This window comes from Homo sapiens, chromosome 8, assembly GCF_000001405.40.
Source record: "Homo sapiens chromosome 8, GRCh38.p14 Primary Assembly".
In the NCBI taxonomy this organism is placed as follows: domain Eukaryota; kingdom Metazoa; phylum Chordata; class Mammalia; order Primates; family Hominidae; genus Homo; species Homo sapiens.
In genome coordinates, this window is record NC_000008.11 from 99,693,268 (window position 1) to 99,718,142 (window position 24,875).

The window sequence follows — 24,875 nt, forward strand, 5'->3', positions numbered from 1 at the left end:
TTGATGAACATTGATGCAAAAATCCTCAGTAAAATACTGGCAAACCGAATCCAGCAGCACATCAAAAAGCTTATCCACCATGATCAAGTGGGCATCATCCCTGGGATGCAAGGCTGGTTCAATATATGCAAATCAATAAATGTAATCCAGCATATAAACAGAGCCAAAGACAAAAACCACATGATTATCTCAATAGATGCAGAAAAAGCCTTTGACAAAATTCAACAACCCTTCATGCTAAAAACTCTCAATAAATTAGGTATTGATGGGACGTATTTCAAAATAATAAGAGCTATCTATGACAAACCCACAGCCAATATCATACTGAATGGGCAAAAACTGGAAGCATTCCCTTTGAAAACTGGCACAAGACAGGGATGCCCTCTCTCACCGCTCCTATTCAACATAGTGTTGGAAGTTCTGGCCAGGGCAATCAGGCAGGAGAAGGAAATAAAAGGTATTCAATTAGGAAAAGAGGAAGTCAAATTGTCCCTGTTTGCAGACGACATGATTGTTTATCTAGAAAACCCCATCGTCTCAGCCCCAAATCTCCTTAAGCTGATAAGCAACTTCAGCAAAGTCTCAGGATACAAAATGAATGTACAAAAATCACAAGCATTCTTATACACCAACAACAGACAAACAGAGAGCCAAATCATGAGTGAACTCCCATTCACAATTGCTTCAAAGAGAATAAAATACCTAGGAATCCAACTTACAAGGGATGTGAAGGACCTCTTCAAGGAGAACTACAAACCACTGCTCAATGAAATAAAAGAGGATACAAACAAATGGAAGAACATTCCATGCTCATGGGTAGGAAGAATCAATATTGTGAAAATGGCCATACTGCCCAAGGTAATTTACAGATTCAATGCCATCCCCATCAAGCTACCAATGACTTTCTTCACAGAATTGGAAAAAACTACTTTAAAGTTCATATGGAACCAAAAAAGAGCCCGCATCGCCAAGTCAATCCTAAGCCAAAAGAACAAAGCTGGAGGCATCACACTACCTGACTTCAAACTATACTACAAGGCTACAGTAACCAAAACAGCATGGTACTGGTACCAAAACAGAGATATAGATCAATGGAACAGAACAGAGCCCTCAGAAATAACGCCGCATACCTACAACTATCTGATCTTTGACAAACCTGAGAAAAACAAGCAATGGGGAAAGGATTCCCTATTTAATAAATGGTGCTGGGAAAACTGGCTAGCCATATGTAGAAAGCTGAAACTGGATCCCTTCCTTACACCTTATACAAAAATCAATTCAAGATGGATTAAAGATTTAAACGTTAGACCTAAAACCATAAAAACCCTAGAAGAAAACCTAGGCATTACCATTCAGGACATAGGCGTGGGCAAGGACTTCATGTCCAAAACACCAAAAGCAATGGCAACAAAAGCCAAAATTGACAAATGGGATCTAATTAAACTAAAGAGCTTCTGCACAGCAAAAGAAACCACCATCAGAGTGAACAGGCAACCTACAACATGGGAGAAAATTTTCACCACCTACTCATCTGACAAAGGGCTAATATCCAGAATCTACAATGAATTCAAACAAATTTACAAGAAAAAAACAAACAACCCCATCAAAAAGTGGGCAAAGGACATGAACAGACACTTCTCAAAAGAAGACACTTATGCAGCCAAAAAACACATGAAAAAATGCTCATCATCACTGGCCATCAGAGAAATGCAAATCAAAACCACTATGAGATATCATCTCACACCAGTTAGAATGGCAATCATTAAAAAGTCAGGAAACAACAGGTGCTGGAGAGGATGTGGAGAAATAGGAACACTTTTACACTGTTGGTGGGACTGTAAACTAGTTCAACCATTGTGGAAGTCAGTGTGGCGATTCCTCAGGGATCTAAAACTAGAAATACCATTTGACCCAGCCATCCCATTACTGGGTATATACCCAAAGGATTATAAATCATGCTGCTATAAAGACACATGCACACGTATGTTTATTGCGGCATTATTCACAATAGCAAAGACTTGGAACCAACCCAAATGTCCAACAACGATAGACTGGATTAAGAAAATGTGGCACATATACACCATGGAATACTATGCAGCCATAAAAAATGATGAGTTCATGTCCTTTGTAGGGACATGGATGAAACTGGAAAACATCATTCTCAGTAAACTATCGCAAGAACAAAAAACCAAACACCGCATATTCTCACTCATAGGTGGGAATTGAACAATGAGATCACATGGACACAGGAAGGGGAATATCACACTCTGGGGACTGTGGTGGGGTGGGGGGAGGGGGGAGGGATAGCACTGGGAGATATACCTAATGCTAGATGACGAGTTAGTGGGTGCAGCGCACCAGCATGGCACATGTATACATATGTAACTAACCTGCACAATGTGCACATGTACCCTAAAACTTAAAGTATAATAAAAAAAAAAAAAACTCCATACCAAGAAAAAAAAAAAAAGAAAATACAGTGTCCCCACATGAAGGAAGGAACACTTACAAGGGATGGGACCCTGAGAGAGCCTGGGTATCCAGGAGCGAAGCCAAAGATCCTGATGTCTGAGGAAGGTGAGAAGGGGCCCTGCTCATGAAGATGTAGAATATTAAGTATGAGTGAATGCTGTAATCAATCATGAAGCCTTGATGAGAACTTCTGGGTAGTCCACCCAGAAGTCCAACTGCTGCTTGTCTCACCTGTGCCAACATCCTGGGGTTGAGGAGTGGAGCAAATGTTCCATTTGGCTGTTGCACTCCGGTCCACCCCGTGTACCCTTCCTTCAGAGGCGATCGCCATGGCTGTTAGGCCTTGAGGCAGAAGTGCCCACGCACGGTGGCGAGAGTGCCATGGACCTCTGCCACAGTGGATTTTATGGTTGCGGGACCTCGGTGCCTTCCTGTGCACAGCTGGCACTCTTCACGCCGTGTCTCTGATGACTTGGTAGTAGAGAAGTCCCTCAAGTCCTTCAAGGACAAGAACAAGAAGCTTGAGGAAGGCGGCCAAGTGTACACCCCCACCCCACAGAGGTGGTGGTGAATAAGTCGCTCGGGCAGAGGGAGCTGGATGAGCTGAAGCGCTACTGCCTTGGCTTCTGCCTGCTGTGGATCCATGCCAAGATCGTGGTGCTCATGCTGTGGCACATCCTTGACAGCCACACCCTGACCAGGCAAAGCGCAGGCAGTTTCTCCGGATCCGCGCCGACCTCCTCCGCTTGGTGCCGTTCCTTGTGTTCGTGGTTGTCCAGTTCATGGAATTCCTGCCGCCCGTGACCATGAAGCTCTTCCCCAGCATGCCAGCATCCACGTTTGAGACCCAGTCCATCAAGGAGGAGAGCCTGAAGGAGCTTCGGGTCAACCTGGAGCTGGCAGAGTTCCTCCAGGACACCATCGAGGAGAGGACCTTGAAGAACATAGCAGCCAAGGGCAGTGCCACCAGACTTCTCCGTTTTCCCAGAAGATCCGGGGGATGGGGGAGAGACCCAGCAATGAGGAAATCATGCGTTTTTCCAAATTATTTGAGAATGAGCTGACCCTGGACAACCTGTCACGGCCGCAGCTGGTGGCGCCGTGCAAGCTGCTGGAGCTGCAGTCCATCGGCATCAACAACTTCTGCGGTTCCAGCTCACCATGTGACTGCGCTCCATAAAGGCCAATGATAAGCTGATTGCTGAGGAGGGGTGGACAACCTGAACGTCAAGGGGCTGCAGCCGGCGTGTGGGAAGTGAGGTATGTGGGCCCTCCGCCTCAGCTGAAGCAGTGTCTGGACCTGCACCTGCATCAGGAGATTCCCATATCGCTACTCATCCTGTCCCAGACGATGTACCTCCCAGAAACTCTTGCCAGCTGACCAGCTCAAGTCCATACTGCAGACTCTCCCAGAGATTGTGGCAAAGGAAGAGCAGGTGAAAGTGGCTGAGGTGGAGGGTGGGCAAGTGCACAAGGTAAAGCTGGAGGTCACGCTGCAGGAGGAGGCAGCCATCCAGCAGGAGCACCACAAGGAGCTGCAGAAGCGCTCGGAGTTGGAGAAGGATGTCGCGCCCGAAGGTGTGGAAGCCACCCCTCGAAGGCCAGGGGCCTAACCTCAGCCAGAAGTGCCTGAAGCAGTCCTGTGGTCAGAGACCCTGAAGGACACTGCCCCCTGCTAGAGAGCTTGAAGGAGAAGGAGATAACTAAGGAGGAAATCGACATCCTCAGCGATGCCTGCTCTAAGCTGAAGGAGCAGAAGTCGCTCACCAAAGAGAAGGAGGAGCTGGAGCTGCTGAAGGAGGACGTGCAGGACTACAGCGAGAACATGCAAGAGATCAAGAAGGAACTCTCAAAGACTGGTAGGTGAAGAAAAATATGTGAAAGCATCTAAAGCCACCAAGAGACTGACAGAGGGTGCAGCAGATGATCGGGCAGATCGAGGGCTTGATCTCACACCTGGAGATGGACCAGGGCCTGCAAGCTGGGCCTGGCCTAGGGCGCGCCCGTAGGGGAGAACATCATCAGTGTCACTGAGCTCATCAGCACCATGAAGCAAGTCAGGCACATTCCAGAAAGCAAGCTCACCAGCCTGGCCTCAGCACTGGATGAAGACAAGAATGGCAAGGTCAACATCAATGACCTCATCAATGTGATTGAGTTGGTGGACAAAGATGTTCATGCCTCCACCAGCCAGGTGGCCAAGATTGTAGCGACCTTGGAGAAAGAAGAGAAGATGGAGGAGAAGACTGAGAAGGAGGCCGCAGAGGTGAAGAGCTAGAGCTGCTGGCCTAGCCACCTGTCCTCCTGCTGCCCCACTGCCCTGGCGAGGGCCGTGAGAGCAATTGCTTTGAGGTGATTCTCAGTGGCTCATCTAATACATTGGCTGGAATGAATCAGAGACTTCCATAATCAAGTAAATTTTAATTTTCATCATTCCATGGATATTCACTTAGTCTGGAATCCCAGAACCCCTCCACAGAATTGTGTTGGAACCACACTGTGGTGTGGTGCAGCTGCTGCAGCTGCCTGACTCCAGAGGCCACTGGGCCAGGCTAGGGCAGGAAGGTGCCCCCTTGTGTGTGTCCTCCCATCTCGGCTGCCCTGCCCCCAGGGAAGAGAATGAGGACCACGCGGACTCTGCCCACACAGAGCTGTCAGCTGCGCCCACCCTCAGAGGTTCATGAGACACAGCCCAGCCTCCTCGGGGCTGAAGATGCCTCTGTTCATCTGTGAATCTTGATTTCTAGATATTGGTGTCAATAGATCTCTCTTCCTGCACACACAGAAAAATAATATTACATATGATTTATAACTTAATAATAATATGCCTAATAACTTTGCTAGTCCTAGCTTCATTTGGGATTATGTCTTCTGTTACATCCTCAGGGTGTCATGAAATGAGCACTTGTTAGGGTCAGTTAAGCTCAAACATTTGTTGAATGCATGCATATGTAAGACACATTGTGCTAAGCACTGGGTTTTAAAGATGTGTGACATGCTCTGTCTTGATGCTTATAGTCTTATGTCTTATTAATAATAGAAATAGAGTGATTTTAGGTGAAATAAGAAGGTTAAAAACAATACAGCTAGTTTTCATGTCAGGTAAGTAAGAGACAAATAAGGACAACATGTGGTATATGGTACATATAAAATGGACTACAGATTTAAAGAAATCTCAGTCTACCAATGTTACATTGGGCAAGGTATTTGAACTTTTATCAATGCAGAGTGTAGGGAAAGGTACAGGGACTCTTCTGGTTTGCAACAGGTCATAAGGGGGAAACAGACATTTTCTGCATGAACAATTAGAGAATTGTAGGGATACTTGGATAAATATTTATTAGTAATACCATTATTTGTGTCAAACATGGTTCTGGGTAGTAAGGAAAGTCTTTTTTTTTTTTTTTTTTTTTTTTGAAGAAAGGCCAGTTTCATATAGGTAACAAACTGGAAAACCTGCTTCATTTTGCCTTGGACTATAAGGGGCAGAGTGGAAATTGACAGCCTTGATATCCTTGTGTGGCCCTCGATGTATCAGGGCCACACATGTCACAAGGATTGGCCAGGAATGTAGGCATGTAAGTAGTCCAGGGAGAGTGCTCCTTCAAGTAACAACATGGAAAGAATCGTTAAGTGATGAGTAAGAGATATATCATGTTCAGGCATCCTAATGAGTCCATAATATGGATCTTGGGACACTTTTATGTAGGAGCTTGTCAGAGAAGTAAAGGCTTGTATTCAGTAAGAAAGCTTCAATAATTGTTTTCTCTTTTTTACTTCTATAGCGGATGTCAATTTGGATATATCAAAGCCTTTGAAAGCAAACCTGAGTTTCACCAAACTGGATCAGATAAACCTTTTTTTAAAGAAGATAAAAAATGCACACAGTTTGGCACATAGTGAAGAGACTTCAGCCATGTCCAACACCATGGTGAATAAGGATGATCTTCCAGTCTCCAAATATTACCGTGGAAAGTTGTCTAAACCCAAAATTCATGGTGATGGAGTGCAAAAGATTTCAGCTCAAGAAAACATGTGGAGAGCTGTTTCCTGCTTTCAAAAAATTTCTGTTCAAACTACTCAGATTGTGATCTCCATGGAAACTGTACCCCATACCAGCAAACCATGCCTGTTAGCATCTCTCTCAAACCTCAATGGAAGCCTTAGTGTCAAGGCAACACAAAAAGTACCTGGTAAGTCACAGAAAAGGGGAGGGGGGAGACAGAACAAGTAAGATGATTTGTTAACATCTGAAAATGCATCATTTTGAAGATTTATATTATGTAGAAGTTAAAAGTTGTAAAGGCCATTAGAGATGAGGACATTTCTGGTTTGTGACCTTATTTTTAGAGATAATTTTAGAACAAATCCTTTAAGTAATGTCTAAACAGAAATGTTCCTGTCCTCTTGAGGCATGTTCTTCCAGGTATCTAAAACTGTTAATTCCTAAATTCCTTTTTACCTAAAACAGCTATAGTGGAACAACAGTATATCAAGTTTTATGAACCATAAGAAGAGTGTTTCTCAAAGTGTGATCTCTGGACTAGCAGCATCAGCATCACCTGGGAAATTGTTACAAATGCAAATTCTCAGACCCCACCCATGACCTACTAAATGCAAAACTCTGGGCATGGAGCCCAGCAATCTGTGCTTCAACAAGCCCTATAGGTGATTCTGATGCACAGCATTAAGTCACTGGTAACCATTTACTTAAAAAAGAAAAGTTGGTGTTGTGGCAGATATGCTACACAAAGTGTAACAGAAGCCAAGGTTCAACTTTGCAAGAATGCTGTTGAGGCATTTTATCAGGCAGCAACACCTGGCAACGAAAAGCTGTGCTTCTGTGCCTAGCCTAGCAAAGTGGGGTACAGACTCTGCAAAGTGACTGCCATTGATGGGAGGATATGTGAGAAATCAACTGGCAGTGACATCTACATTTTCCACTTCTGTTACCATGACTAAATTGTTATATACTTTTTCAAAAAGCATGGGAAGTGTGGGCAGAAGGATTGTGAGGAGGGGAAGAGGAAAGGCAAGACACAGGTGGGAAATAGCAGTTTTCAATCACAGAAACTGCTACTGTAAAATTTCAGGGCACAGGGCCAGAAATTTGGCTCTGAAAGTAAATGTAGCAAAAGGGAACCATGTATTTTCCCTCTTTAATTTGTGGGGGGAAATTGGGGATTGGGGATAGTGCAGGGGATAAAGCAAATCCTTATATGCAACTTAGTTGCTTATCAAAAAGTAATTAAATTGCAGCTGTAGACTTACTGTAACTTAGTTCCACATAGCCAGGTTGGGCACAGTAGTTAAAACAGAAAGGAAAAGTTTTATAGTTGAGAAGCCTGAATTTTAGGCCAAAACATAGATGATTTATTTCTTTCTCACTAGAAATATTCGTGACCAAGCCAACTAAAAGTTCTGTATTTTGTTTAATTGTCTTAAAAGTTACAAGTGAAAAAGGTAAGTAAAGTTCATGGGTCATGAAAGACTATGAAATACTGGAGACTACAGTATCTGATTTATCCACAAATAAATTGCAACCCAGACAACACTAGGTCTGTTCCCATGCCTTTCCAGTTGTACCTCAATCATAGCAGGGAAAGGTTAAGACTCAAACAAAATGGAAGAATTTAAACGTACTATACTCACTTTTAGGTGCTTTTCTTTTTTCATCCTCATTGCTTTTTTTATTCATTAGTTACTCATATTTTATCCATGTTTAATGATGTCTGTCTTTGGGAAACACCTCTAAAATATTAAAAATCCTTCTCTCACTAAGCTGTGCAAGTTAGTAAACTCTAGTTTTGGAACTTGTTTTTTCCCCCTGTATGTAAGAAAAACTATATACCCCTAATCCTTTTACAATGCTGTTCTTAAATCTAGTTAAACACAAAAACAGCAACTATAGCTTTGACTAAACATACTTTATACAACTCTAACATGTAGTGTCCAGCAAATGTTTTAAAATAATTATTTGCATCAAGTCAAATCAGAGTTGAGATTAGCTACTTAATAGTAACAATTTTGTTATGAGACTATAATGAACACCAAAATCTATTTTTAGTACAGTTTTTTCTTTATGCATACTCAAACAGTTTAGGATGATAACAAGGTTAGCAAAATAATAAACTGTAATTACATGAAATAAGATTTATTAACTTCTAGTTATAAGGACTGATTTCTTGGAAAATTGTGATTAAGAGATTGCCACATATTTTTTTCAAAAAAATTGATTTTAACTGTATTTTTAAAATAAAACATAACTTAAGTTTTGAATGTTAATTTCATTGTGTAGTTGAATGTCTTAAAAATTCATGCTTTGCAATTTGGATAAAATACATGCAAACATATATTCAAAGTATAATTTTGATAAGTGGTAAAAACTATCCACCACCACCAAAAAGCAAATATACTCACATAAAAGCCTCCTACCAGTAGTCATATTTCTTTTTGTAGTTTTCAAGTAACATTGTTCTACATTCAACTGAAATTTTTTATACTTTAGTATATCTTTGAGCTCAATGGAGTTGATGTCAGATTTTTATAGTTTGAATCTAATACAGAAATACTTAACTGTGTCTTTGATTTTACAGTTTATATAACTGTTGTGACCATCTGCAGCAGCTGCACTTTTCAGAATTATTTGCTGAACCAAATTGAGCACAGTGACAAAAGTAGTCATCTCAGATGTACTATTAAACGAAAGAAAAAGGAGCATTGCCTTGGTACAGTACAGCCATCTGCTGTACAGATGTTATTGTATAGAATGACTTCAGATAAAATAATTGTAGAAAATTTTCATTAAAACCTCAACAATTTGCACTTGTTTATGTGAATCTGCATAACTCCCCAATGAGAGAACACACTTGGGGTTTCTTCGGTTCTCACTCACTTTCTCTTTGATCCTTTTTGATGTGCTGATTTTAATAAACACAGTCAAAAACACTGTGCAAAAACATCATGGAAAAAACTACAAAGGAACAATTATAGCAGCAGAAACTACTCTAATCCCTAACTTATGCAAGCTATTTTTAGTGAAGTATTTTTTTAACACTCTTTATGTGACAATGTTATATAAACAGGGTAAAACGGTCCTTTCCAGATGAGTTTTAATTTAGGAGCCGAAATAGATTTGTAATGCTAGAGGAATCTTATGTGCTAAGTAATATTTAGAGAAACACCATTGAGAATGTGTTTTAGATATGTTTCTTTGTCAAAGGTACAAAAATATTTGATTTCACCTAATGATTATATGTTTTTATCATCTAAACTGTCATAAGCTTACAGGAAGTGTATGTGGAAAGGAAATAATATGATCAAAAGTGGTAAGTTAATTTTCTCCCCCGGGCATTCCGAATACATTTAAATCTGTGCTTTCAGATTTATTTACTGATTTATAAAACTAAATATTTATAAATTATTGACTGAAGCAGTTAAAGGAATTCCTCTTATTATCATTTGGAATGAAACGAAATGGTTAAATATTTTCTACTTTACCAAAAATATCTACCAGTTCTTCTTAGCCTCCTATGTTATTCTTTAACCCTAAACTATGGGAGTTTCATAGGATTTGATTTTTTTTTAATTCCACTCTGCAGATACTGGTATAGCAGTGACTTAGAATAAACTAACTCCCATTTCTGTTAGAATACTTATGTTCTCTCATGAATCTTTGGTAAAATGACCCAAAACTTCTGATTTCAGTAGAGGTAATGCTTGTATTTTTAAGGTTGGTGTATAATATTGCTGAAAATCCTATGATTATATTAAAAGTACATCTCCTTTAGAAATTATATCATATATTTTAAAATATTTTAAGGCAGATAATATTTATTTTGCTATTCATTGAACCCATCCCATTCTATAGTATTTTCTGAAAACAAAACAACAGAAAAAAAGCCTTTCCCTTACGTGTATATACAACGCAATCATTTTTGCCATTTGAAATATGTAGCTTTGGAGAAACCAAAAGTATATAGCTATAAATTGCGAACTTGCAGTGTAGCACTTTCCAGAGGCAGGGTGGAGAGTGAGCTACAGACTTTAGCTCCCCTTGTCTGAGTAAATTATGGCTCTGTTTGGGCGGCACTCCTTAGATTTCGACAAACGAGCACACAGTTGAGAGCTGTGAAATAGCTGAACTTTAGGCTGCCTTGCTCTTTCTCGGGGCACTTAGATTGGCAGCCTCCATATATGTAGATAAGGAAAAGGAAAATAGAATATGAGCAAGTTAGGTGCCACAAAAGATTGGGGGAAGAACCTTAATGAGGTCATCTTGGTTGGCATTTTAGTCAGAATAGGGAAGAAGTTAGAAGGATCCCCTGTCCATAAGGACTTGGGTGACTTTTTACCCAAGCCAAAACCAGTGAGTTGAACTCCTTCTAGTCAAAGGACTATGGTTTATGTAACTTTCACTACCCCAGGCTCTGTCATCCAGATGTACTTATCTTTTTGAATAAACAAAAGTAGAGAGAGAAAGCATAACCACATTATTTTTCACATATACAAAATGCCTTTTCTCATGTTCACTGAATTCAGGACCAATAAAATGTAAAGAACCTAAAGTTCCTTTTCATGTATTGAAAAGTGAAACCAGGTCATTAATTGATAAAAAGTGGAGCTCCAACTTTTCATTCTATAGTTAACTGGGTCTCCCAGGGAAAATCTTATAAGGCATTGTCATAAGCTTTGGATGCTGCAGAGATGCGAGTTAGCCTAAGGGGAAATAAAATAGTAAATTAGATATGACTACCTAAAATAATATGTTGCAATAACCAGCCAATTACAGCACCCCAAAGACTTTTGTTACTTTTAGCAAGAAATAGCATCTCTGTCTAATGCCTGAACAATAGGAAATGAGTTCTTTGACAGTTAAAGCCAGAGGACAAACTTAACTTTTAAGCAGCCACTGAGGATTGAAGTGGAAGTACAGCTTGTAGACAGCTATACAAATCACTAACAAACCTTAATGAATATTGGGTGTGGGCATCAGGGTCCTGTCATTTTTGACACTATGTCCCAAGTAGCTTAAACCCAACACTTAAGGAAAGGTGGAGACCTCATTGGGTCTGTAACATCTGGGTTTTTATTTGTCATTTTGGCATACCCCACAAGCGCAAAAGAAAGAGTAAAAGGGGATTATCTTGACAATGAAATGAGTTACTGAATCTTGTGATAATGAAAAGCAGAAGAATTCTAATGCCTTTCTATAGTCCCTGAGGTAGAGGTGCGTTTATGGTTTAGCAGAAGTAAAATGTAGAGGGGAAGAACAGATGGCCTACCGTCCGTGAAACATGACACCTCCCCTCCCAGGACTGAGTACCACTATTAATCCTGGTCAGATTCCCTCCTATTACTTTATAACAAGGTTCAAAGTTGCTACTGATAAACTGGCATGTACTTCTTTTTTCACCCTTAGATTACCTGTAGATTACTGATAATTTTTGACTATGATATATCTCTGTATATCCTGGTGAACCTTGAGGCATTCGACAAAAAGTAGAACAGGAATTTCTAAAAATTGGCTGGGAAATAAGAAGAACAAGTAAAATTATCTTAACTTTTTTCAAAAAATGTCCCATATTATGTTTTCTAATATGACGAGAATAAAAACCATAAATGTATGAGATACTGTAATTCTCCTGTCCTCTTAGAAATTATATGAAATGGAGAAGACATCTCAACATACAAATTATATTCTCCTTGCTGTAACTGTTATATGATTAGATACACTAATCATTATTAATTACCACTACCTTAGAAAAGATTTTTTTGACACCCTCAAGAAAGGAGATTAAAAATTATGACTGTTTGACATTTAAAAAAAAGCACTAGGAGGTATGTGCTGCTCAGCCGTGTTTACATAGTCATGTATTGTTTTGTTTAACCAAATTATGTAAATACAGTATTCTACATCTTTTATTTTGAGGTATATATTCATTGTCCTGTGATAAATAGCTTGTGCATTTTTAAAATGTTGTTTATGTACATTTTTGTTTTAGTGCTGTGTGGTTGCTATAGCTGTTTTGGATTCCAAAGGGAAGCCTTTAAAATACATAGGAGAATAACTTCAGAGATATGGAAGATATCCACTGGGTTGAGTTTCTGATGTATGTATTTCAAAGCTGCATAAAAATAAAAATTATCTAATAAGCAACAAACTTAGGATATCAGAGCGATCTCATGTGCTGTGGTGTAGTGAACATGATGTACCTGCCCAGCCTTTCGTAGAGGGAGATGAGCTCATTTCAGAGAGATAACCATCTCTGACTTTTTCTTCTGATTCATCACTGACCTGAACTCGATTTGAACCTTGTTAGACAAAAAACAAGCAGAATTCCTGGCCTAAACTATAAAATATAATTAAGCCCTTTTGAAATGATGTGTAAAAGAACATTGCTGTACCCCCACTTATAACCACCACCACCACCACCGCAACCAATAAAGTTAAATCAAGCACTGCCTGTAATGGATTAAAATAATAAATGTTCCTGGATTTCAGTGTTTGAAGTACTTGAAGAAAACAGGCTCCCAGCAGCCGGGGTAGCTGAATGCAAGAGAGACATTTATTAATGACGAGTTCAAGGATTTGGCCTGTTTAAGATCATTACTTTCTGTTTACCGTGTGTTACACATCCCTTGTATTTTTACACAGCCCACATGTGTCCACATGCAATAATGAGAAGCTTTTTTCCCAACAAAGGAATTAATTGTGTAAATATGGTTCTCTTGGGGAATATGAAGTCTTCATAAGACTCTGAGCCCTTCTAATGAGAAATCCAGTGTAGTCATTATAGTCTTCCATGTAAATCCACCTTCAGATCTTATCTTTAACCAAATTAGTCATTTCTGGTTATTGGTTTTAGTTACCAAATTCCAAATTTAATCTAGACTGTTTGCTAGAAAACTGCTGGCCTCAGGGTATTTGTTTTAGAATTGTGTGCCATTACATTGGACACATAATTCCAGCCCTAATAATTAAGTACTAGAGACTTTTTTCTTAATAGCATCTCCTTAGCATTCTAATGATAGCCCCTATTAGGTTAGTATTAAGTAAAATGGACAAGCACTGTAGCCCCAACCCAAGGACTGTGGAAAAATAAAAGATTAGAAGTAAATCTCTATCCCCCACTCTACTGAATTTGTGACAGCATTTAGTGTTGCCTGTGGTCACAGGAAATTGCCCGCTTGTCCATATAAGCCAGTAGGCTGTTTGCTAGGAAAGCTTCTAGCAAAGCAACCCTGAGTGATGAGTAACTGACAACATCTTAGATGTTCTTTTACTCCCTGGTTGGTCCCCTGGACTTGTTGGCTATGTTGGCATAACATACTGGGGCTGAGCAAGGGAACTGAGGACAGGAAAAAGCATGTATTTACAACCCAGTTACCAATTAGAAAAATGAAATTACTAAGAACTAATAGCAGTAGTTTGTATAAAGCAACATGGTGCTGTAAAGAGGCAGACAGAATCTGCACCCCAGCCCTGCTACTTACTGACCAGCTGGTTGTGTCAAAAGTTACTCTGTAGTGCATTTCCCAAATGAAGGCAAAAATATTTAATTTATAGGACTTTGAGAGGATTAGGTGACATAATGTATGCAGAATACCCGACACATTGCTTGGTACAAATTAAGTGCTCAGTAAATATTGGTCTTTGTATATATTCCTTTCCCCAAAATCACACCACATGAATATGGAGGTCATAGATTACTAAATGTCAGAGCTGAAAAATACCTTAAAGGTCATCCTTTTTTATCAATAACCTTTATTATCCTTTTCTCCCATTGACCTCATGGTCTAGGCACACTGCATTTAGTATTAGATAACTAACTATACCAACTTGATACAATTTTAACCAAAACAAACAAAAACTTTAGAACACCTCCACAACTTAGTCTCAGACAAATTCATGATTTCTTTTAGGTTCTTAGGAATACTAAAAATACCTCATGGACCACCATTACTATGTGGGACCCACTAAGTGTCAAGGAACCTTGGGTTGAAGCCCATGGAGCTAGTCTTAACTCCCTCATTGAGTACAGAGTGAAGAGGTTAAGCGGTTTGCCCAGGGATACTGTATGGTGGAGTTGAGACTAGAACACACATCTCCTGGCTGCTGGCCTTTCTGTTATACCAGTCTTTCAAAACCTGGATTATGTAGATCAAGACCATTTTCTAAGGCACTGCAGTAAATTACTTAGCAAGTCATGTTGTTTTCAACATTATTTGAGTAAGTTTATATCAATTTTTCCATCCATGTAACTTAACTTTTTTAAAAAAATTGATTCTTCAGCAGTTTCCTCGCATAATTCAATTAACCAGCTACTGAATTCATCCCAGAAACTTTTCAAGTATGTATTTGCTATTATTCTTTCCTATGTAAGAAGGTTGTCTTACACTTTCCAGTATGCACAGTCAGATCTGCCAGTCTGCTTTTTTTTTTAAACATAGCCACATGATCCAATCAAGTTATATTTTTCTAATAAACTAACACAACTGTAAAAACCGTGAGCATGGTGGCAGATTGGAGGGGAAGAAAGAGGCAAAGCATATCCTCCATCACCCTTTGGTATTTTTAGTTTTCATTTTTCCAGGATCCTAGAGTTCTAAAGCATTTCATAAAAAATACCTTTCCCAGACAATGGCCATGTGTGAGTAGCCAGCTCAGTAGGCATTTCTTCTTTCATGACAAATTCTTCCTTTTTTTTATGGGAAAGAAACACTCCTCTTCCAGTTACTTGTTTTTCCATTTTCTTATGTCCAAACAAAGAGGTTTGAATTAAACTAGGAGGTCCCAGCTTTTACTTACCAGTAAGGACTAAGTCACAGTCCCTGGGGAATAGAAATCTCACCTATGAGAAGTCATCAGGTGCTTTGGGAAGGGAAACATGTTAGTAGCCTGGCCACCCATTTGGTCTATTATTTTGATGACTAGACTTTTAAGTTCATTTGTTGGGGAATACTGGCATCTTTTACAGCTTAAATGTCAGTGTCCATGTAGTTCTCTGGTTTTGTTATGTTTTGTCCCACATATCATTTCTTCCTGTATTTTAGTTTACCATATTAATAGGTTCTCTCTCTCTCTCTGTCTCTCTCTCTCTCTCTCTCTATATATATATATAGGCTCTCTCTTTTGCGCTCTCTATATATGGGCTTATTACAGAATTAAATATAATTAAATAGGATCTGATCAACTTACATATTCTGATCAAGGGCGGGGACGAACATGTTTTTTTCATGGCTAGAGCACCCAAATGCCATTTTTATCTGCTTCAACATAATTGGTTGAAGGAATGGAAGACTTTATTTTTGAGGGATTTGTTATGTCTTTACAGACAATACTTACAAAATTTTGTCGTTTTCACATTTTAAGGTTTTCTGATGCTTCACTGTTATGCAAATCAGCTTCCGGATGTATCTAACACATGCTTGCTGATTTTCTAGTAGCCTTAGATTACTTACAGCTGGATAAAATAATTACCTGGATATGCTTTGCTAGCAATGTCATCATTGACTACTCTTTCTAATGATGCATAGAAGCTTGATTTAGATTGCATTTTGCTTAGTCAGCATGTAGACACTAGGAGCCTTACTAAGGGTCTAGTAGACACTGACAACATAGGGCTGGCAGCACTTTGTAAACATTTTCCAAAACAAGTGGTTTGCATTTATTAGTCTTCTGAAGGAGTATTTTAGAAGTCATGAAACTATTTGTTCCTTGAAGTAAATTTTTATACTCAATGAAAAGTATGTCAGTATTCAAACAAAGCATGATTGGTTCTGTTTATCGTACCAGTTGTTTCTGAAATTATTTCTCAATGTTGCTACACCTCGTTTAGTTTAATTAAATATCTGCCATTAGTTTGCTAAAACTTAAATTTAAAAGATAAACAGATTTTTGAGAAAAGTCAACAGAAAAAATCAGCAGGAAAGCATTCTGTTGAAGGAAATGTAGAAAGAAGAAGTCATACCGTACGATTGGTCAAAGTGACCTGATCACATAATCACTAAATGCAACATGGGATCCTGAGTGGGATCCTGAAACAGAAAAAGGACATTGGAGGAGAAGCTGGTGAGATTGAAAGGTCTTTAAATTGGTAGTATTGTATCACTGCAAATTTAATGGTTTTTGAGAATCATAATCTGATTTTATGTAAGTTATTAACATTGACAAGCTGGATGAAGGATATCAACTTTTCTGAAAGCCTAAAATTGTTTCAGAATTTAAAGTTTTTAAAAAATGACCTGATCAGCAATTGGGTAAGTAACTTTAATAATATTCATGCTTTTAAACATCTAAGTGATGATTTTATATCGTAAACTTTTGAAGCATATTTTTAAAAATTTTGTCTTTACTGTTTTTGGAAATTTAGGGAAAAAACTACAAGTACAGAAAATGTACAGGGTAATTCATCAAATGCCTGTGTACTCATGAGCTAGAACAAATATAAACATTTGTCTTATTTGTTATAAACACACACACACACAGAACTTTACAAAATTATTCAGGCCTTTTCCAATGTTCCATTGTTAAGAAGGTAGCTCTTTATAATTTTTACTTGTAGGCATTTTGTCCAATGGTGCATTTGTCCCCCTAGGAAGAAGAACACATGTCTTAACTCACTTTCTGTTGCCATTTATACCAGGTTGTTGGATGTGTAAATATCTAGTTTACATGAACTCTGAGTATTCTCTGTGGCCCTAGGTTTATATGTGTGGTAATATATAAGATTCAAAATAAGGAAGATATTTAGTATGTTTCCTGGGAAAAAAAGAAAGGCCTGATGTCCCATGGGCTGGCTTCTCAGAGTGAAATAAAGGGGAAAGGAAAATTAATAACCCTGTCATGAGTCCCAGGGATTACTTTCGTATTTTGTGGTAAAAGTGTATAATTTGGTTTACTATCCTGTAAGTGACCCTTTGTGAAATTCATCACCACCCTTTATTGCTATTAAGTTATCACAAGCTCTTAATAAATACTGGCTCACGCCTGTGATCCCAGCACTTTGGGAGGCCAAGGTGGGCAGATAATGAGGTCAAGGGTTGGAGACCAGCCTGACCAATGTGGTGAAATCCTGTCTCTACTAAAAATGCAAAAAAAAAAAAAAAAAAAATCAGCTGGGCATGGTGGTGTGTGCCTGTAATCCCAGCTACTTGGGAGGCTGAGGCAAGGGAATTGCTTGAACCAGGGAGGTAGAGGTTGCAGTGAACTGAGATCACACACTGTACACCAGCCTGGGCGACAGAGTGAGACTCTGCCTCTAAATAAATAAATACTGGTTCCAAGATTAAAAGCACTTAACTAATGTGTTTATTATTATGTTGTAGCTTTTTTTAATGTAGGAGTAAATGTTCAAAGGAAATATCTATTTTAAACTTAAAAGCTGATATTTGTGGGTTAACCTTTCTGTGGTACTACAGATAACTGTGTTCCCTCATTGAGGAATGGAGTCACAACAGGTTGGTGTGTGCAGTATGTGTAGCAGACAAGGAAGGCACATGGGGAGGAGTTGAATCAGTTGTGTAAGTTTCAAAATTGAACCACACTGAATTTCCTTGTAGGTATATGGCAAGAAAGAAAAGGGACAAAAAGGACCAGGCAGGATATATTTATATCTGTAGATTTTGTATTTTCTTAGTACTTTCTGGCAATGGCTGTTCCTGTGTCCTCACTGCAAACATTAGCATCTTATTAAATTCTCAGTGTCATTTGTGTATTTAAACAAGCTCATGATCAGTGCTGGTAGGCCTGAGTTACGGGCAAATAAAAACTGTAGAATGACTGTAAAAACTAAGACTAAAGCAAGGGGTAGGCTTGAGCAAAAGAATAAAAGAGACTGAAAAAAAAGTGAACAGCACATAAAGTGAATAAAAAGAAAGCAAAAAATATTAGGGTTTGTATGATAGCAGGGAAGTATTCCTGTTCAACAGTTCATGTGCTTAACAGAGTCAATATTAGAAATGTTCTGGGATGTCTCTTCCCCACTCAGTACTTACTGAGATTGCAGACCTTGAAGCTAATACATTGCCAAGAGAAAATCTGATATGAAAGAAAATTGCTAATTATTTACTTTATCTTCATATACCCAATATATGGTAGATAACCACTAACTTTTGGTTGAATAATGGATACATGCCTACATAAATATCAAATTGAAGGTGACCCAGGATATGTAAATTCCTTAGAAACAATCAGAAGCATGGTAATAGCACTTGTTTAAGAAATTAGGCCTGGTTTTAGATACTGTCTCATAAGGACAGAAATTATGGTTTAAGCCATGAGAGTAGAGAAGTTTGCTGAAATATTAGTTCAAGGGGAGAATAGAAAACTGAAGATTACTTATTAAAATCCCATTGGTTAAAGATATTATTTGTGACACTTTGGATTGCACACGACAGAAAATCCAACCTAAACTGGTTTAAGCAGTTTTTACGTATGTGAAAAGCTCCAAACCAGTGTTGTCCTGAGGCATGGAAGAGTCTGTCAGATTTCTTCCCTCTGCGTTACGCAGCTTCAGCCCTTAGGCTCCACATGCTGACTGCCAGCAGTTCCAAGGCCTTCATTTTCTTAACCTCAAGACCAGGGAGCAAGAGGAAGGGTCATGTTCCCAAAAGTATTATTATACCTTAGTGGTTTTCATTGAATATTATGCTCATTCCTGGACCAAATCAATCTCCAGAGAATATCAAACATAAAGTCCCATAAAGTTCCCCATCCTGCTAGACTATTTCCCGGCAAACCAGTCATTGGATTCCGTTGTCACCAGAACATAGCTATAGCTAGCTCAGTGCCTGCCTTCATTGCAGGGCCTCTGTTTCTGAAGCACATTGTGTGTCCTCTGGTCCTCTTTAGTGCTCACCTAAGTCTGGCCGACTTTCTCTCTTCTTGTTCCAGCCTCCCAAATGTTTGTGTGATCATTGGCTTCCTAATTCTGTGCAATTTTACTGATATTTCTGTCCCCACCTTTATCTTTATTCTCTTGAGAATTCTAGCTATCCCATTCTGTGTCCCCAAGCCAAAAAAAAAAAAAAAAATAGGATTTGTGTAATAGTAGGAAAGTGTTTTTCTATATTTGTTTTCTAATAATTCAAGTCTGGAATTTTTTTTTCATTCTCTCCTTGCCCTAGTCAATAAAGTCAATAAGAACTTGTAATTGTATAACGTTGGGGGGGTTAAGAAGAGCCTTCCATCAACTCTACTTAAGTTCTCTAAGAGGTAGGCACTTTGCAAGTGATATGCATCATATAGAATGATATGAATTTTGACATTTCAGTACTAGTTCTTTTAAGACAAAGCCTCATAATTTTAGTACAATATCAGTATTTAGCACAATATCAGTATTTTAAAGTGGTTCCTGCATAATAGAGATACCTAACATGATCCAAATTCTATATGTATTATGTTATTTCTACAAATATAAGATTTTGTCATGCTTACAAATACTCTTTTTTAAATGAAAGCCACTATAGCGTGAGAAAGGAATCTCATTCCTCTGTATGCTTTGTAGACAAAATGTTGTCAAGCCCATTCCTAAAGAGACTTCCAGAAATAAATATCAACCTTTTATGGCTTTTTTTTAGTAGATAATTACCTTTGCTTCCATAAACTTGTTCTTTATGGCTTTCTTAGTTCTTTTGCTTTAATTTTGACCACTCCAAGTGATGTTTTAAGGTGGATTAGAAACAGACACACCTGAAGAGGTGCTTAGCAAGTTTCTGATGGTCATAGAAAGAGGTTACAAATAAGGAAGGCGAGAAGACTAGAAACCACCCTGTGATGTTGGATTTGAACCTGAGGTATCAGTATGCATTCATGGTTTTTAATGTATTTACCAGTGGATAGAGAGAGAGACAAAGATATGTAGGTATACAGGGGTTGCTATACATACATATACTTCTTATCTCTGCTGAAGGGGCCTAGCAACAGTGACACCCCAGTAGCAATGAGCATACCTACCACCCAGATTTTGGTTTCTAGATACCATTCTTCAACAAAAGAAACCAGAGCTCCTTGGAGAAATGGCTGGTGCTAGAGATGGGGTGGTAAAAATACAAGATGAGCCTGAAATATTTTGTGGCCTGAAAGTAAAGAAGTTCTCAAAAAATGATTGGCATAGGCCAGGTGCAGTGGCTCACGCCTGTAATCCCAGCACTTTGAGAGGCCAAGATGTGCAGATCAACCAAAGTCAGGAATTTGAGACCAGCCTGGCCAACATGGTGAAACCCCATCTCTACTAAAAAGACAAAAATTATCCGGGCATGTTGGTGGGTGCCTGTAATCCAAGCTGTTCGGGAGGCTGAGGCAGGGAATCGCTGGAACCCAGGAGGCAGAGGTTGCAGTGAGCCGAGATCATGCCACTGCACTCCAGCCTGTGTGACAGAGTGAGACTCTGTCTCAAAAAAAAAAAAAAAAAAAGACAGGCATATACTAAAAGGACACAGGGACCATCTTAAAGGGCTCCCAATGGCCAAAGCTGGTTCAGAGTAAGCAACAATGTAAATAATGATAGTATTGGATTATAACCCATAAAAATGAATATTCATGAGTCCATACTGATATAAATAAATAATTGAATTAGTATATGGGGTAGAAGGGACAGCTGTAGTATATGTGCTACCAAAGTGGGCGCTAGAAGGGACAGCTCTAAATAAGGGAAATAGGAAACCACCATTATCACACACCACAATAAATCATTGCAGGTGAGACCACTGGTGGATGCTAACATTAGTGGGTGAAAATTTGAAGAAAAAGAGCATATCTGCATAATCTCCAAGTGTCTCCCCACAAAAATACTTATTTACAAGGGGAAAGTGTTAACTTTACAATGGCAAAATCTGACAGACACCACTTTAGCCATATGATCAGAGTTAATATTGTAAATAATAAAATATTGGTATCACATACACCAATATGACGCACTAAGGGGGTCACTTTGGTGGTATTGTCAAAAATGCATAACCTCTTTCTGATCACAAGAAAACATCAGATAAACCCCAACAGACAGACACGTTGCAGAATGATTGTCCTGGGTTATTCCACAGTATCAAGGTCATGAAAGACAAAGAAAGCTGGGGGATGTGTCACATATTAAAGAATATTAAGAAGCTTTGATGATTAAATTCAGTATGGATCCTAGGTTGAATCCTGGACCAGAAAGAGGAAATTAGTGGGAAAAATGGCAAAAATTTAAAAAGATGTGTAGATTATTTAAAAGTATTATATCAATGTGGATTTCCTGATTTCAGTATTTGTACTAAAGGTACATAGCTAGGTGAAGGGTGTACAGGAACATTATACAGTATGTTTTTTCAACTTTTATGTAGGCCCAAAGTTATTTCAAAATAGAAAGCTTTTTTTTTTTTTAAAGTGAGGGGACTTGGAATAGATGATTTCTAGATCTCTTCCATCCAGCCTTTTTATGTTACAGTGGTAAAAAACGAAACCAAAGATGTAAGCAGTTTTATTTCCTGTCTACCAATTAAGAAACATGTTGAGGCAGCTGAAAAATAGGATCAGATTCTAAACTGTCGATTCAGTTCAATGGAACATGTCCTGAATAGCTACTGTTGTGCCCAGGACTACACTGAATAAGCTGGTCCTTGCCTCCAGCATGGTCAGTACTAGAGGTTGAAAATTGTGTGATCTTCTCTTTCACTCACTCATATTATTCAGGTATCTCTTCTTTGATGTTTTAAAATAATGGAATTGGAGAGAATGAAATAGAAATTGATAAGTTTTAGAAATTTGTCAAAGGAAATAAGAGCCTTCAAAGAGGGCCTGAGGTTTTTCAATCTGGGTGCCTAAAGAGATAATAATAACCATTAAATAAGATAAGCAACCTAGGTGGCCTTTGGCATTAAACACTGTGTACAAGGATTCAATATGACTATCACACTAAGATTACAAACAGATAATTAGATATGTCACTGTGGGGTTGTACAAAGATATGTGTATTTGAAAATAAAGGATGATGCAATCCTGACATTCTGTTAATGCTCATTTACTAAATAATTGTACTGAATTAAGGCTATACTTTTATGCCTTTATGGCAAATTTCTGGATGATGAATAGATATATTTCATTTAGCAAATATTTACTTTTAGAAGTTTTAGATATTTTAGAAATGTAATGCTGTTAAGTCAGAAAATTATGGCTTCAGTTATGGACTGAAGTTAATAAAGATGGTTTTTTATTTGGGGGTATTTTGGGGCCTGTTTCTATTTCTTTTATTTTCTGGAGTGCTTTTTTTGCTTGTTTATTTGTTTGTTTAGACTAAGTGGAAGCTTTGAATCAGGATAATTGTAAATGAAATGGTAGTTTCAGTTTCACAATTTGATGAAACATTTTAAGAAATTGATTTCCACCATGATTATTTTTAAACCAAAGTCTTATCTCTAACACTTTTGTGGGTGTGATGCCTTCTGTGGAGGATTAGAGGTTGAATATCTTATTTCTGCAGTAGGAATATACAACATATATGAAATTTTCAAGTCTCTACAGAATTGAAAAGTCAATGTGGTTACTGTACTTTAAAACATGTGTATACTGTGGGCCTAAGGTGTTTTTTAATCTTTCATCTTTTTTAGGGATCAAATATCATTAGAAAAATAAGCCATGGGCATTACAAACGTGGTCTGGTGAAATTCAATATTCACTATGACAATTTAGAATATGAGCTCCTTGGGAGGAAAGTTAACTCACCACTCTTAACTTTGCATCTAAATATCCTAAAATGTGCCATTGGTTTTATGAAAAGGTTTTGATCTACACTCCTATTTTAAGTTCAAAAGAAAGCCTACATTTTAAAGTGTATTCCTTTTCTGGGTATATTTACTTTGAACTATAGCATATAGTTTTTCTCATAAATCTAACCTGCCACTATCTGTTTTTAAGACTTTGTAAACTTCAAGTGGTTATGATGTGTGAAGTTTGGATTAAACTAAAATTTTTAGAAAACACACGTTATATATTTTGATTGTTTTGAATTTTAACATGGGCCAGTAAAAAACTTGAGTGTCTAGCAGAGTAACATACTGCACTCTGTTACTGTAGGAAATCACAGAAAATTACCCTTTCCCATCATGTTAACAATAGACAAATGAAGCAGCTGTTCTTATTCTTAATGTAGTTGCTTGAAAAACTTGCACAATTTAATGAAAATGTCTCTACTCATAAAACTTAAAATGCTCACACATGGAAAAAGTCATAATGTTTTGGCAAATATTACTTTGTTAGGAATGTGAATGAGGTATACCTGCTTCATAACTAGAACTCTGTATAAACGGCATGAAACGGTGGTGGACTGCCAACCAAGCAAGACGACTCTGACAAAGGATGAATTAATACTCTTCAAAAATATAGATAGTTCTTTCCCAAACATTTTTTTTGATAAGGATGAATTATATACTCTTCTGTATTTTTTTTTCAGGCATAATTCTTGGGTCATCATTTCTACTCAGTATAAACGATTTTCTCCTTAAAACAAGTCTCAAAGAAAGAAGCCGCATTCTGATAGGACCATGTTGTGCTACTGCCAATCTGGAAGCTAAGTGGTGTAAACACAGCGGGAATCCAGGCCCAGAACAATCCATACCAAAAATATCCATTGACTTAAGAGGAGGTCTACTACAGGTCTGTGGGTATTGGCCATATTTTTTTCATAGGTTATTAACTAGCCTCTGTTCATTTTTTGAACTGTTTCACTAAATTTTAAATCTTTGTGTGGTAAGAAAGGGTATTTGTCAGATTGCTACTTGTTAAATTTTCAACAACTTTATTGAGATATAAGTCATATACCAGCAATCTACCTATTTCAAGTATACAATTCAGTGGTTTTTTAGCATATTCAGAGTTGCACAATCATTACCACAGTCAATTTCAGAACATTTTCATTACCACCAACAAAAAAACCCATATCCATTAGCAGCCACTCACATTACCCTCTAACCCCCTTATCAGGCCTAGGAAACCACTAATCTACTTTCTGTCTCCATAGATTTACCTATTCTTAACATTTCGTATAAATAGAATCATGTAACCTGTGGTCTTCTGTGACCGACTTCTTTCACTCAGCATGTTTTCAAGGTTCATCCATGTTTACCAAGTGTCAATATTTTATTCCTTTTTATGGCCAAATGACATTCCATCATATGGATATACCACATTTTATGTATTCATTCATCAGTTGATAGACATTTGGGTTCTTTCCACTTTTGGCTGCTATGAATAATGCTGCCATGACCATTTGTGTACGACTTTTTGTGTGGATATATGTTTTGATTTCTCTTAGATATATAACTAGGAGTGGAATTGCCGGGTTGAATTTTTTTTTTTTTATGGGTAGACTTTTCTTTTTGAGACAGGGTCTTCCTCTGTCACCCAGGCTGGAGTACAGGGGTAC

General features: G+C 38.2%; 1 protein-coding gene and 1 pseudogene across 2 annotated transcripts in view; both read left to right on the plus strand.

Moving 5' to 3' along the window:
• Positions 1-24,875, plus strand: part of VPS13B (vacuolar protein sorting 13 homolog B) — an 864,307-nt gene that overhangs the window by 679,994 nt on the left and 159,438 nt on the right. For both annotated transcript variants that reach the window (NM_152564.5, NM_017890.5), the window contains exons 36-37: positions 6,258-6,665; positions 23,904-24,106. In NM_152564.5, coding sequence (NP_689777.3) covers positions 6,258-6,665; positions 23,904-24,106 — 611 coding nt within the window. The remainder of the gene's footprint in view (positions 1-6,257; positions 6,666-23,903; positions 24,107-24,875) is intronic.
• LETM1P3 (leucine zipper and EF-hand containing transmembrane protein 1 pseudogene 3) lies at positions 2,665-5,253 on the plus strand (annotated as a pseudogene).